The sequence below is a fragment of the Homo sapiens genome, chromosome 3 (assembly GCF_000001405.40).
Source record: "Homo sapiens chromosome 3, GRCh38.p14 Primary Assembly".
NCBI lineage: Eukaryota > Metazoa > Chordata > Mammalia > Primates > Hominidae > Homo > Homo sapiens.
Genome location: NC_000003.12, coordinates 138,633,600 through 138,648,554, shown reverse-complemented (window position 1 = coordinate 138,648,554; position 14,955 = coordinate 138,633,600). Strand labels below are relative to the sequence as shown.

Genomic DNA, 14,955 nt, shown 5'->3' with positions numbered 1-14,955 from the left:
CAAACCACTGCTCAACGAAATAAAAGAGGACACAAACAAATGGAAGAACATTCCATGCTCATGGATAGGAAGAATCATTGTGAAAATGGCCATACCGCCCAAGGTAATTTATAGATTCAGTGCCATCCCCATCAAGCTACCAATGATTTTCTTCACAGAATTGGAAAAAACTACTTTAAAGTTCATATGGAACTAAAAAAGAGCCCTCATTGCCAAGTCAATCCTAAGCCAAAAGAACAAAGCTGGAGGCACCATGCTATCTGACTACAAACTATACTACAAGGCTACAGTAACCAAAACAGCATGGTACTGGTACCAAAACAGAGATATAGACCAATGGAACAGAACAGAGCCCTCAGAAATAATACCACACATCTACAACCATCTGATCTTTGACAAACCTGACAAAAACAAGAAATGGGGAAAGGATTCCCTATTTAATAAATGGTGCTGGGAAAACTGGCTAGCCATATGTAGAAAGCTGAAACTGGATCCCTTCCTTACACCTTATACAAAAATTAATTCTAGATGGATTAAAGACTTAAATGTTAGACCTAAAACCATAAAAACCCTAGAAGAAAACCTAGGCAATACCATTCAGGACATAGGCATGGGCAAGGACTTCATGTCTAAAACACCAAAAGCAATGGCAACAAAAGCTAAAATTGACAAATGGGATCTAATTAAACTAAAGAGCTTCTGCACAGCAAAAGAAAGTACCATGAGAGTGAACAGGCAACCTACAGAACGGGAGAAAATTTTTGCAATCTATTCATCTGACACAGGGCTAATATCCAGAATCTACAATGAACTCAAACAAATTTACAAGAAAAAAACAATCCCATCAACAAGTGGGCAAAGGATATGAACAGACACTTCTCAAAAGAAGACATTTATGCAGCCAACAGACACATGAAAAAATGCTCACCATCACTGGCCATCAGAGAAATGCAAATCAAAACTGCAATGAGATACTATCTGACATCAGTTACAGTGGCGATCATTAAAAAGTCAGGAAACAACAGGTGCTGGAGAGGATGTGGAGAAATAGGAACACTTTTACACTGTTGGTGGGACTGTAAACTAGTTCAACCATTGTGGAAGACAGTGTGGCGATTCCTCAAGGTTCTAGAACTAGAAATACCATTTGATCCAGCCATCCCATTACTGGGTATATATCCAAAGGATTATAAATCATGCTGCTATAAAGGCACATGCACACATATGTTTTTTACGGCACTATTCACAATAGCAAGACTTGGAACCAACCCAAATGTCCATCAATGATAGAGTGGATTAAGAAAATGTGGCACATATACACCATGGAATACTATGGAGCCATAAAAAATGATGAGTTCATGTCCTTTGTAGGGACATGGATGAAGCTGGAAACCATCGTTCTCAGCAAACTATCGCAAGGACAGAAAACCAAACACTGCATGTTCTTACTCATAGGTGGGAATTGAACAGTGAGAACACTTGGACACAGGAAGGGGAACACCACACACTGGGGTCTGTCATGGGGTGAGGGGAGGGGGGAGGGATAGCATTAGGAGATATACCTAATGTAAACGACGAGTTAATGGGTGCAGCACACCAACATGGCACATGTATATGTATGTAACAAACCTGCATGTTGTGCACATGTACCCTAGAACTTAAAGTATAATTTAAAAAAAAAAGCATCAAACCACATATAAGGGAATCTCCATGAGACTAACAATGAATTTCTCAGCAGAATCTTTGTAGGTCAGGAGAGAAAGGAATAAAATAGTCAAAGTACTGAGAGAAAAAAAAAAAAAGAAACTGTCAACCAAGAATCCTGTGTCCAGCAAAGGTATCCTGGAAAAATGAAGGGAAAGTAGTCTTTCTCAGAAAAACAAAAATGGAGATAATTCATTACCACTAGACTAGCCCCACAAGAAATATTTAAGGGAGCCCTACACCAGGAAACAAAAGGACAACATCTACCATCATGAAAACTTAACAAAAGTAGTGTAGAGCAGATACACAAAACAGGAATAGGAGTGTTGTTACTCTAAAAAAAAAAAAAAAAAAAAAAAAAACCACCAGATCATAAAAGAAAGTAAAAGAAGAATAAAGGAAGAAAGGATATTCAGAACAATCAGAAAACAACAAAATGACAGGAAGTCCTCACCTATTAATAACAAGCTGGAATGTCAAAGTTTAAGCTCCCCCAACTAAAAGATATAGACTGGCTGAATGGCTAACAAAAATAAGACCCAGATATATGCTGTCTACATGAAACTCATCTCACCTATAAAGACACATAGACTGAAAATGAAGGGATGGAAAAAAATACCTCATGCAAACAAAACAAAAGCATGCAGGAGTAGCTACACTTATATCAAAGGAGAGTTTAAGTCAAAAAAAATGAGACAAGAAAATTATAATAAAGGAATCAATTAGGCAAGAGGATATAACAATTGTAAATATCTATGCACCCAACATCAGAAACCAAAATATATAAAACAAATATTATTACAGCTAAAAAGACAGGCTAATACAACAATAGTTGGGGATTTCACCACTCCCACATTCAGCATGGAAGAGATTATCTAGACAGAAATTCAAGAAACATTGGATTTAAACTGCACTTTAGACCAAATGGATCTAACATTTAGAGAACATTTCAGGCAACAGCAGCAGAAAATAAATTCTTCTCATGAACACATGGAACATTCTCCAGGATGGACCATATGTTAGGCCATAAAACAAGCCTCAAGAAAGTTTTAAAAATTGAAATCATATCAAGTATCTTCTAAGACCACAGTGAAAATTAGGAATCAACAACAGGAACTTTGGGAACAAATATGTGGAAATTAAACAACATACACCTGAATAACCAATGGGTCAATGTAAAAATTAAGAAAGAAAGTAAAAATTCTTGAAACAAATGAAAATGGAAAAACATACCAAAACCTTTGTGACACAGAAAAAGCAATGCTAAGAGGGAAGTTTATAGCAATTAACGTCTATACCTGAAAAGTAGAAAGATGTTGAATAAACAACCTAAAAAATCCACCTCAAAAAACTAGAAAAGCAAGAACAGACTAAACCTAAAATTAGTAAAAGGAAAGAAAGAATAAAGAGCAAAGCAAAGCAAAATGAAATAGAAACTGAAAAAAACAATACAAAGAATCAACAAAATGAAAAATTGGTTCTTTGAAAATATAAACTCAATCAATAAACCACTAGCTAGTCTAACCAAGAAAAAGGATCCAAACAAATAGAAGTAAAAAAAGAGACATGGCTGGTCACGGTGGCTGACACCTGTAATCCCAGCACTTTGGGAGGCCGAGGCAGGCAAATTACCTGAGGTCGGGAGTTCAATACCAGCCTGACCAACATGGAGAAACCCTGTCTCTACTAAAAATACAAAATTAGCCAGGTATGGTGGCTCATGCCTGTAATCCCAGCTACTCGGGAGACTGAGGTAGGAGAATTGCTTGAACCTGGGAGGCAGAGGTTGTGGTGAGCTGAGATCACGCCATTGCACTTCAGCTTGGGCAACAGAAGCAAAACTTCATCTAAAAAAAAAATTACAACGGATGCAACAGAAATACAAAAGATCATTAGAGACAATTATGAGCAACTATACAATAACAAAAATGGAAAACCTACTGGAAATATATACATTCCTGGACACATGCAACCTACCAACATTGAACCAGGAAGAAATAGAAAACAAAGATACCAATAACAAGTAATAAGATTGAAGCAGTAATAAAAAACTCTCCCAATAGAGAAAAGCCCAGAACCAGATTTACTGCTAAATTCTAACAAACTTTTAAAGAAGAAATAACACCGGCTTTGCAGTTGTCACCACTGGGAGCCCCGTATTATCACCCATGATCAACCCCACCATGTTCTTCGACATCGCCGTCGATGGTGAGCCCTTGAGGTGTGTCTCCTTTGAGCCTTTTGCAGACAAGTTTCCAAAGACAGCAGAAAACTTTCATGCTCTGAGCATTGGAGAGAAAGGATTTGGTTATAAGGGTTCCTGCTTTCAGATAATTATTCCAGGGTTTATGTGTCAGGGTGGTGACTTCACACGCCATAATGGCACTGGTAGCAAGTCCATCTACAGGGAGAAATTTGATGATGAGAACTTCATCCTAATGCATACAGGTCCTGGCATCTTGTCCATGGCAAAGGCTGGATCCAACACAAACAGTTCCCAGTTTTTCATCTGCACTGCCAAGACTGAGTGGTTGGATGGCAAGCATATGGTCTTTGGCAAGGTGAAAGAAGGCATTAATGGCCAGGCGTGGTGGCTTACACCTGTAATCCCAGCACTTTGGGAGGCTAAGGTGGGTGGATCACAAGGTCAGGAAATTGAGACCATCCTGACTAACAAGGTGAAGCCCTGTCTCTACTAAAAATAGAAAAAAAAAAAAATTAGCCAGATGTGGTGGCAGGCACCTGTAGTCCCAGCTACTCAGGAGGCTGAGGCAGGAGAATAGCATGAACTTGGAAGGCGGACCTTGCAGTGAGTTGAGATCACGTGACTGCACTCCAGCCTGGGCGACAGAGCAAGACTCTGTCTCAAAACAAAAAAAAAAAGAAGGCATGAATATTTGTGGAGGCCATGGGGGACTTTGGGTCCTGGAATGGCAAGACCTGCAAGAAGATCACCACTGCTGATTGTGGACCCTCTAATAAGTTTGACTTGTGTTTTATCTTTTTGGTGGTGTTTTGTTTTGTTTTGTTTTGTTTTGTTTTGTTTTGTTTTGCTTTGTTTGAGATGGAGTCTCACCCTGTCACCAGGCTGGAGTACAGTGATGCAATCTCGGCTCACTGCAACCTCCAACTCCCTGGTTCAAGAAATTCTCCTGCCTCAGCCTCCCAAGTAGCTGGGATTACAGACACACACCACCACACCCAGCTAATTTTTGTATTTTTAGTAGCGACAAGGTTTTTTCCATGTTGGCCAGGATGGTCTTGATCTCCTGACCTCATGATCCACCCACCTTGGCCTCCCAAATTGCTGGGATTACAGGCATGAGCCACCGTGCCCAGCCAACTTGTGTTTTATCTTAACCACCAGACCATTCCTTCTGTAGCTCAAGAGAGCACCCCTCCACCCCATTTGCTCACAGTATCCTATAATCTTTGTGCTCTCACTGCATTTCCCTTTGGGTTCCATGTTTTCCTTGTTCCCTTCCATGCCTAGCTGGATTCCAGAGTTAAGTTTATGATTATGAAATAAAAATTAAATCACACAAAAAAAGAAATAACACCAACTTTTATCAAACTATTCCAAAAAATTGAAGAGGAAGGAATTCTTCTTAACTCATTCTGTGATGCCAGCATTACCCTGATACAAAACTAGACATAATCAAATGAAAAATAAAACTACAGGCCAATATCTTTGATGAAAATAAATGCAAAAATCCTTAACAAAATGCTAGCAAACTGAATCCAGCAACACATCAAAAAAATAATACGATGATCCAATGGGATTTATCTCAGGGATGCAAGGATGGTTTGACATACACAAATCAATAAACATGATACATCATTTCCAACAGAATGAAGGACAAAAACCATATGATCTTCATATTAGTCCATTTTCACACTGCTATAAATAAACCTGAGACTGGGTAATTTGTAAAGGAAAGAGGTTTAATTAACTCAACATTCCACATGGCTGGGGAGGCCTATGGAAACTTACATTCATGGCAGAAGGCAAACAGAAAGCAAGAAGCTCTTCACATGGCAACAGGAGAGAGAAGTGCAAGCAGGGGAAATGCCAGACGCTTACAAAACCATCAAATCTCAGAGAACTCACTATCAGAACAACATGGAGGAATCTGCCCCCATGATCCAATCACCTCCCTCCCTCAACACGTGGGGATTACAGGTCCCTCCCTCAACATGTGGGGATTATAATTCGAGATGAGATTTGGGTGGGGACATAGAGCCAAATCATATTAATCTTCTCAATAGATGCAGCAATCGCATTTGCTAAAATTAAACATCACTTCATGATAAAAACAAATTTAGCATAGAAGGAACATACTCAGTGTAATAAAAGCCATATATGAGAAACACAGCTAACATCATACTGAAGAGGGAAAAGCTTAAAGCCTTTCTTCTAAGAACTGGAACCAAAGTTGCCCACTTTCACCTCTACTAATCAACATATAGTACTGGAAGTCCTAGCCAGAACAATCAGGTAACAGAAATTTTAAAAAGGCCTCCAAATTGGAAAAGAGGAAGTTAAATTGTCCCTCTTTGCATATGAATTGACCTTATATTTTAAAAACCTGAAGACTCCAGCATAAAGCTCTTAGAACTGATAAATGAATTCAGTAAAGTTATAGGATACAAAATCAACATTAAAACGTCAGTGGTGTTTTTATCCACCAACAATGAACTAGCTGAAAAAGAAATCAAGAAAGCAATCCCATTTACAATCACTATCCCCCCTACCAAAATACCTAGGTGTATATATATATATATGTATAGGAATATGTATATATATAGGAATATGTATATATATATGTATAGGAATATGTATATATAGGAATACACACACACACACACATATATAATATATATATGGAGATAAAATACCTCTACAAGGAAAACTATGAAACACTGATAAAAAGAAATTGTAGAGGACACAAACAAATGGAAAGACATCTCATGCTCACGGACTGGAAGAATCAACATTGTTAAAATGACCATACTACCCAAAACCATCTGTAGATTCATGCGATCCCTATCAAAACGCCGATGATACTCTTCACAGAAATAGAAAAAACAATCCTATAATTCATATGGAACCACAAAAGATCCCAAGTAGCTAAAACAGTACTGAGCAAAGAAAACTGGGCAGGCATGGTATCTCATGCCTGTAATCCTAACACTTTGAATGGCTGAGGCAGGAGGATCGCCTGAGCTGAGGAGTTCAAGACCAGCCTGGCCAACATAGTAAGACCCTCATCTCCACACACACACAAAAATTAAAATTAGTGTGGTGGCATGCATCTGTAGTCCCAGCTACTCAGGAGGGTGAGGTAGGAGGATCATTTGAACCCAGGAGGTCAAGGCTGCACTGAGCTGTGATCATACTACTGCACTCCAGCCTGGGTGACAGAATGAAACCCTGCCTTTAAAAAAAAAAAAAAAAAGCTGGTGGTATCACGCTGCTTGACTTCAAAGTATGCTACAAACCTATAGTAATTAAAACAGCAGCCAGGCGCGGTGGCTTATGCCTGTAATCCCAGCACTTTGGGAGACCAAGGTGGGCAGATCACGAGGTCAGGAGATCAAGACCATCCTGGCTAACACGGTGAAACCCCGTCTCTAATAAAAATACAAAAAACTAGCCAGGCGTGGTGGCATCGCCTGTAGTCCCAGCTACTCGGGAAGCTGAGGAAGGAGAATCACTTGAACCCGGAAGGTGGAGGTTGCGTGGGCCAAGATCACGCCAGTGCACTCCAGGCTGGGTGACAGAGCAAGATTCCATCTCAAAAAAAAAAAAAAAAAACCAGCATGGTACTGGTATAAAAACAGACATATAGACCCATGAAACGTAATAGAGAACCTAGAAGTAATTCCACATGTTGACAGCCAACTGATTTTTGTCAAAGGTGCCATGAACACACATGGGAAAAAGGATCCCTCTTCAATAAATGCTACTGGGAAAACCGGATATCCATATGCAGAAGAATGAATGTAGGCCCCCTAATTCTCACTGTGTACAACAATAAAGAGTTGGATTAAAGAGTTAAACATAAGACCTGAAACTAGCCAAGTGTGGTGACTCACACCTGTAATCAGGCAGGAGCATCGCTTCAGCCAACGAGTTCTAGACTAGCCTAGGCAACATAATGAGACCTTGTCTCTGCAAACAAACAAACAACAACAAAAACACCTGAAACTATAAAACTACTACAAGGAAACATACGGCAAAGTCAAATAGTCTTTTCCTAGACTGAACTCCTGGGCTCAAGTCATCCTCCTGCCTTGGCCTCCCAATATTAACCCCACAAGAGATTGTTTATACAGTCACAATTTATTTAGATCTATGTCCGTTTTTACCATTGTTGCTTTTCAAATCCTTTCTCTTGCATTTTTAAACTTTCAACTGAAATAATTTTTTCTTCTTAGACCAAAGAATATACTTTAATATTTCCTTTGGTTGGTCTGCTCTGGATGAATTACCTCAACTTTATTTTGCCTGGTAATAAACAGTAGTTTTGCTGGGTATAGATATTTAGTTAGTTGTTTTTCAGCACTTTGAAGGTATTTTTCCATTGTCTTCTTGCTTCTGTCATTTCTATGGAAAAGTTAGCCTTATGTTTTGGTGTGTGTTTTTTCCACTAGCCACTTTTTTTTTTTTTTTTTTTTTTTGAGGCAGAATCTCACTCTGTCACCCAGGCTGGAGTGCAGTGGCACGATCTTGGCTCACTGCAAGCTCTGCCTCCCGGGTTCACGCCATCTCCTGCCTCAGCCTCCCGAGTAGCTGGGACTACAGGCGCCCGCCACCATGACTGGCTAATTTTTTGTATTTTTAGTAGAGACGGGGTTGCACCGTGTTAGCCAGGATGGTCTCAATCTCCTGACGAGATCCACCCGCCTCGGCCTCCCAAAGTGCTGGGATTACAGGCGTGAGCCACCGCGTCTGGCCTCCCACTAGCCACTTTTAATGATTTTCTTGTTGTCTTTGGTTTTTAGCAGTTTTACTATGATAGGCCTAGAGATGGTTTTCTGTGTCTCCTTCCTGGTTGGTGTTTGCAGGGCTCAAATCTGTAGCTTGATGCTTTTCATCATTTGGGAAATTCCAAGGCATTATCTCTTTAAACCTTTTTCTGCATCATTCTTTCTTCTTTGGAACTATAATTACACATGCTTTTAACTATATAGTCTATATTTACTACTGTCTTCTCTATAATCTGTTGTATTTTTCTTATATATATTTGTCTCACCTATATTCCAGTTTACTGTTTCTCTGATTTTGAGTTCTTAGTTTCACTATTGTACTTTTTGACTCTATAGTTTCTCTTTAGTTCTTTTCAGTTCTGCTATGCCCTTTTTAAAATTTTCCTATTCCATGCTGATATTCTCAGACTTTTTTTTTTCTTTTTTGAATCATCTTGAACATTTTAAACATAGTTACAGACCGGGCGCGGTGGCTCACGCCTGTAATCCCAGCACTTTGGGAGGCCGAGGCGGGCGGATCACGAGGTCAGGAGATCGAGACCATCCTGGCTAACATGGTGAAACCCCGTCTCTACTAAAAAATACAAAAAAAACTGAATCCAGCAACACATCCAGCAACAGAGCGAGACTCCGTCACAAAAGACAAAACAAAACAAAAAACAAACATAGTTACATTAAGCTGTACATCTAATTAACTCTTAATTTACAACCTATGTGTCTGTTTTTGTTATTTCTGCTGACCCTATTTGTGTTGTCCTGTCTCATTTGCTTGCATGTTTATTTATGTTGGATAATTACATCCGTGATAACTCTAATTTCAAGGACAGATAAACTATTTATTCTTATTCCTTAAGTACTGTTCTTTGGGGGTTCCTGCCCAAAATGTGGAAGTTTTGCTAGAGTATCCCAACCTTGGCATTCCCTTACCCTAATTTTTGTCTCCCCATCCCTTCAAGGCTGTTATAAGTACTGCTTAGACTCTTGACCTCCTGTTCTGGAATAAATAAACATTTCCAGGGTTAAGTGGTTCCAAATGCTTGGCTCATCTCTCTGGTTTTCCATCTTCTGCTACATCTTGGCTTAGATTGTCTTTTTAGCTTTATGATAACTTCAAGACTTTTTATATTTTGCCTTTTTTTTTTTTAATGGAGTTTTGCTCTTGTCGCCCAGGCTGGAGTGCAATGGCGCCATCTCAGCTCATTGCAACCTCTGCTTCCTGGGTTCAAGCGATTCTCTTGCCTCAGCCTCCCAAGTAGCTGGATTACAGGTGCCCGCCACCATGCCCAGCTAATTTTTGTATTTTTGATAGAGACGGGGTTTCGCCATGTTGACCAGGCTGGTCTCGAACTCCTGCTCTCAGGTGATCTGCCCTCCTCAGCCTCCCAAAGTGCTGGGATTACAGGTGTGAGCCACCACGTCCAGCTTATTTTGGCCTTTTTTTTTTTTTTTTTTTTTTTGCAAGAGAGTTGTCAGCATTACCTTTTCCATCTTTTCTCTTACCCCCACTAACTATTCATCCATTTTAATATGGCTTCTGTCTCATTTCATTGAGCCTGATTTTGTTCATTTTCTCACCCACATCCTCCATGATGCCAAATCTAATAGATACATTTCAGTTCTCATGCTTTTCTCCTCTCAGCAGCAATTTGACATAGTTAACTATTCCTGTTTTATGCTTTCTTGCCTTGCCTTCTAATCTTAGGGTTTTCTACCATCTCAAAACACTTTTCTTTTTTCTTTCTCTTTTTTTTGAGACAGAGTTTCACTCTTGTTGCCCAGGCTGGAGTGCAATGGCATGATCTCGGCTCACTGCAGTCTCCACCTCCCAGTCAAAAGCTCACTTCCTTTTCAATGTTTCACTAAGTCTTTCTCCTTTATCCAATTTTAATTTTTTCTTTGCTTCTTATAAACAATTTTATATAAATGCATAAATGTGATCATAACTGCTTATTTTTTAAGTGAAACCTTTTTTTTCTTGAATTTTGGTTACTCCCCACCTCTCTCAATCAATCCCACTCCCATTCCTACTAGGCGACTCATGTCATTATACTTGTTTGCAACCTCTATTTCTCTCCATGCTTGTGTAATCATATACAGAAAAAAAATCTGTAAAGACATACATACATACATTAGATAGGATGCTCTGCCATTGTTTTATAAAATTGTACTATATTATTTCTTGACTCAAAAATACTTCCTGGAAACCTCTCCAATTCATTCTTCTGAATGGCTGAGTTGTAACTCATGATGTATAATAATTTATTCAATCATTTATCTGTAGACGGGCATTTACAATTTCCAGTTTCTTTTCTTCCCCACTATGAACAATACTGCAATAAATGTCCTTGTATATATCCTTATATACCAACACTAACACCTTTATTCTCATGGAATAGATTCCCAAGAGAAGAAGATGTGTGGGGCATATTTTTAAAAGCTTTATTGTAAGTACGTTTTAAAATCTTTATTGTAAGTACATTTTAAAATCTTTATTGAAGTTTAACATGCTTTTAGAACATAACATAAAGATAAAAATCATATAGGAATATAGCTTATTTTTCACAAACTGAATTGTCTTTGTGACCAGCACCCAGATCAAAAATAGAAAATTACCAGTCTCAGAAGTTCCTTTCACGCCACCTTCTAGTTACTAACTCCCCTGTAAAGTGCGCATCTTGTGAACTTCAAAGACTATATATATATTAGGTTTTGCCTGTTTTTATAAAATGGAATTTTATAAAATTCCTACTTTATAAAATGGAATGTTTAATACTGTCAGATTGGTTTCCTAAGAACTTTTAATACCTATTTTCACCATCAAAGTGTGAGGTGGGTACTCTTTCTACCACATCTTAGACAAAAATATATCATTGCTTCTTCTTTTTTTTTTTTTTTTTTTTGCTGGTTGCATTGTTAAAATAATTTCCCTAACTACTAATTAACTTATTTTAAAAATTGGTTGGCTCTTTGGATTTCCTCTTCTATTTCTATTATTTGTCCATTTTGTGATTAGCCTGGCTTATCAATTTGTAAGAGCCCTTTACATGTATGTTGGCTCTTTTCATCTACATTGCAAATATTTTCCCCAAATCTATTGTTTGTATACTGGCTTTTTTAATGGTGTATTTTGCCATACAAACTTCCTAGTCAAATATGTTTGTCTTTTGTTTTATAACTTCCAAATTTTCTGACTTAATTAAGGATTCTGTTGGCCTTAGCCAGTCAGAAATGTTGTAGCTTTTTGGAGTTTAATTTTAGGTTCCCTTTCTACTTTCTTTACAAGCTCTCTAGTTGATCTTACCCATTTCCATAGCTTTAAATCTCCCGCATGTGCTCATGATGTCCACATGTATATCTCCAGCCCAGCCCTCTCCTTTGAGCTGCAGTAATATGAATCTCACTGCCTACCATCTATGAAGGGTATGCTAGGTCCTGGGGGAGACAGTGGTATGTGGTTCCTACCCTCATAACTCACTAGAGGAAGTAGGTACTATGTGTTAAATTGAAGGGATGCCTGGGAGACTTGATATATTGCACATTTTATATTGCTGTAAGGGAAAGGCAACAAAGGATTAGTTCTGTGATATATGTAGAACTACTACAAATCTATTAGAAATTGTCAAACAACTCAACAGAAAAATAAGCAAAGGAAATAAAAAGACAATTCTCAGAAAAGGAAACCTGAATCGACAATAAACATGTAAGATACTCAAAAAATAAAGTGAGAAAACAAAATGAGAAAAAATAAGATTAAAATGCAATATTGTTTAAACCCTCAGATTGGCAAAACTTTAAAAGCCTGACCACATATCAAGTGTGGTGAAAATATTAGGAAAAGAAAACTCTACTGCTGGCCAAAGTATACAACAGCACAACTGCCCTGGAGGGCAGTCTGGCAAATATCTAATAGTACTGAAGATGCACCTACCCTTTGATTTAGCAATTCTGCTCCTCAATAGACCTGGAACAGTGCTTCTAAATCTTTGATGTACAAATCACCACGGGGGTCTTGTTAAAACACAGATTCTCCTTCAATAGGCCTGGGGAAGAACCCGTGATTCTTAATTTCTAACAAGCTCCCAGGTGATGTCATTGCTGTTGGTACAGGGGCACACTTAAAATACCAAGACCCAAGAGAAACTCTTGAACATAAACTCAAGGGACATACACAAAGATGTTCATTAGAGCCACTGATGTGTTGATGATCATCTGAAAACTAGGGGTATGCGCAGCTAAATTTGTATGGTTGAATGCAAAAGTTAAAGGAACTGGAGATACACATACCAACCTAGATCAAAAAACATTGTTGAGTGAGGGAAAACCATGATGTAGGAAGGATACACAGAATGTGATAACATTTAAATTTTAAAATAATACTGTACTTTTTTGATATATATCAAAAAATATATATCAAAAGTAAAATAATACAAACTTGCACATGGGAATGATAAACATCAAATACACATTAGTGATTAGTTGCACAAGGGAGGGGAAGGGAACAGGGAGGGTATATGGGTATTCAGTTGCATTGGTAATGCTTTAGTTATTAAACTGGGTAATAGGTACACCTAGTTTAATAATACAGCTGTGTTATATTTTCTATTTTTTTGTACATCTGAAATATCTAATTAAATAACTAAGACAAGTAATAGCCTCAAGTTTTAAGGTGAGGAAACTGAGGCTCAAGAACTTAACTTGCTGTGCCAAACTTCAGATCTAGGCTATACTCTTTCCACATTATTGTGCTACTTTGAATTAACAAAACGAAACAAACGTGGATTTACCATGTCAAAGGCAAGACTATATTCCTGGGGTTGGTCTCCATAAAGACGGAATCAAACTGTACTCGCAAGTGTTTGCTTAGGTACACGACAACCCCTGCAAATCACGGATTTTGACCTCTAATAACTACAGTTCAAAGCCCAATGCCTAAAAATAATTGCTTTGCTTTTGGACATGACACAAAATATTTTTCTAGCAGATAAAATATGGCCATTAAAAGAAGACTTTTACTCAAGAAAAATGAAAACAAACCACAACTCCCAAATCCATGAAAGCAAACCCAAATGTGAGTTTAACAAGCCTCAGAGTCCCTGTTAGACTGTTTCCTGGTCTTCCATTGGCATTGAAGCAAAACTAGGGGGTGGAATGGGAAGACCAGGGAGGTTTTTTGGTAAAAATCTTTTATAAACTTAAATTTTTGTTTTATTTTGTAGAGACAGGGTCTCACTATGTTGCTCAGGCTGGTCTTGAACTCTTGGGCTAAAGCAATCCTACTGTCTCAGCCTTCCAAAATGTTGGGATTAGAGGCATGAGCCACCAGCCCAGCCTTGTAAACGTTTTTGTAAAGGTAGTACGCTGAGCTGCCAGTGGTAAAGACTTCAAAATAAAAGGTGTTAGAAGAAAGAAGGAGTCAAGGCTTTTCAATACACCCACGCTGCCGCCCTGCAACCCTGCATGTTGCCTGCCGGGTCCTGGCCTCTCCAAAATGTCTTCCCTCACTGCTCTCCTGCCCCTCAATTTCTCTTTCCTGCTGTTAGAACCTGGTTCTGCCTCTGTTCTGCCCAAAATCTCTTCAAAATATGTTAATGACAGGGAGATCGTAGTAAAGGGCCTAAGTCTTAGTATCAGAAAAACCTGGATTTAAAATCCTATGCCACTACTGAGCAACTCACTCAGCCTGAGACAATCTATCTATCTATCTATCTAGACCAGTGCTGTCCAACAGAACTTGGTGTGGTGACGGAAATGTTCTATATACTGTCTGGTATGATAGCCACTAGCCACATGTGACTGTTGAGCACTTGAAGTGTAGCTAGCGTGACTAAGAAACTGAATTTTTGATTGTACTTAATTTTAATTAACTTAAATAGCCATGTGACTAATGGCAACCATATTGGACAGAGCAAGTCAAAAAAATGGAGAATGCCCCTTCACACAGAAGATCAGCAGTGATAACAGATGTGAAATGCCCCAATGTGGTCTACTATTAAACTATATCCTGCCTTGAAAGACTTTCAGAGTATTGAAGTGACCAACCCTCAGGCACTTAATGTACTGACTTGGCTGGTCTTTGTGAGTATGCCTGCACAGGCCGATTCAGTCACAGAAGCACTAACAAACAAACACTGGCACCACATCCAGGCACAGATACGCAACTCAGACTTTTTAAATACTGCCTGAGGAAGCACTTGATACAATCTGGTGTAAAGGAGTTTTTGCTTCTTTTCCTTTTGGTTTATGTCTTCACCATGTTAA

The 14,955-nt window shown here is 38.6% G+C and overlaps 1 pseudogene; it reads left to right on the top strand.

Annotated features, from left to right (window-relative positions):
* PPIAP72 (peptidylprolyl isomerase A pseudogene 72) lies at positions 3,834 to 5,246 on the top strand (annotated as a pseudogene).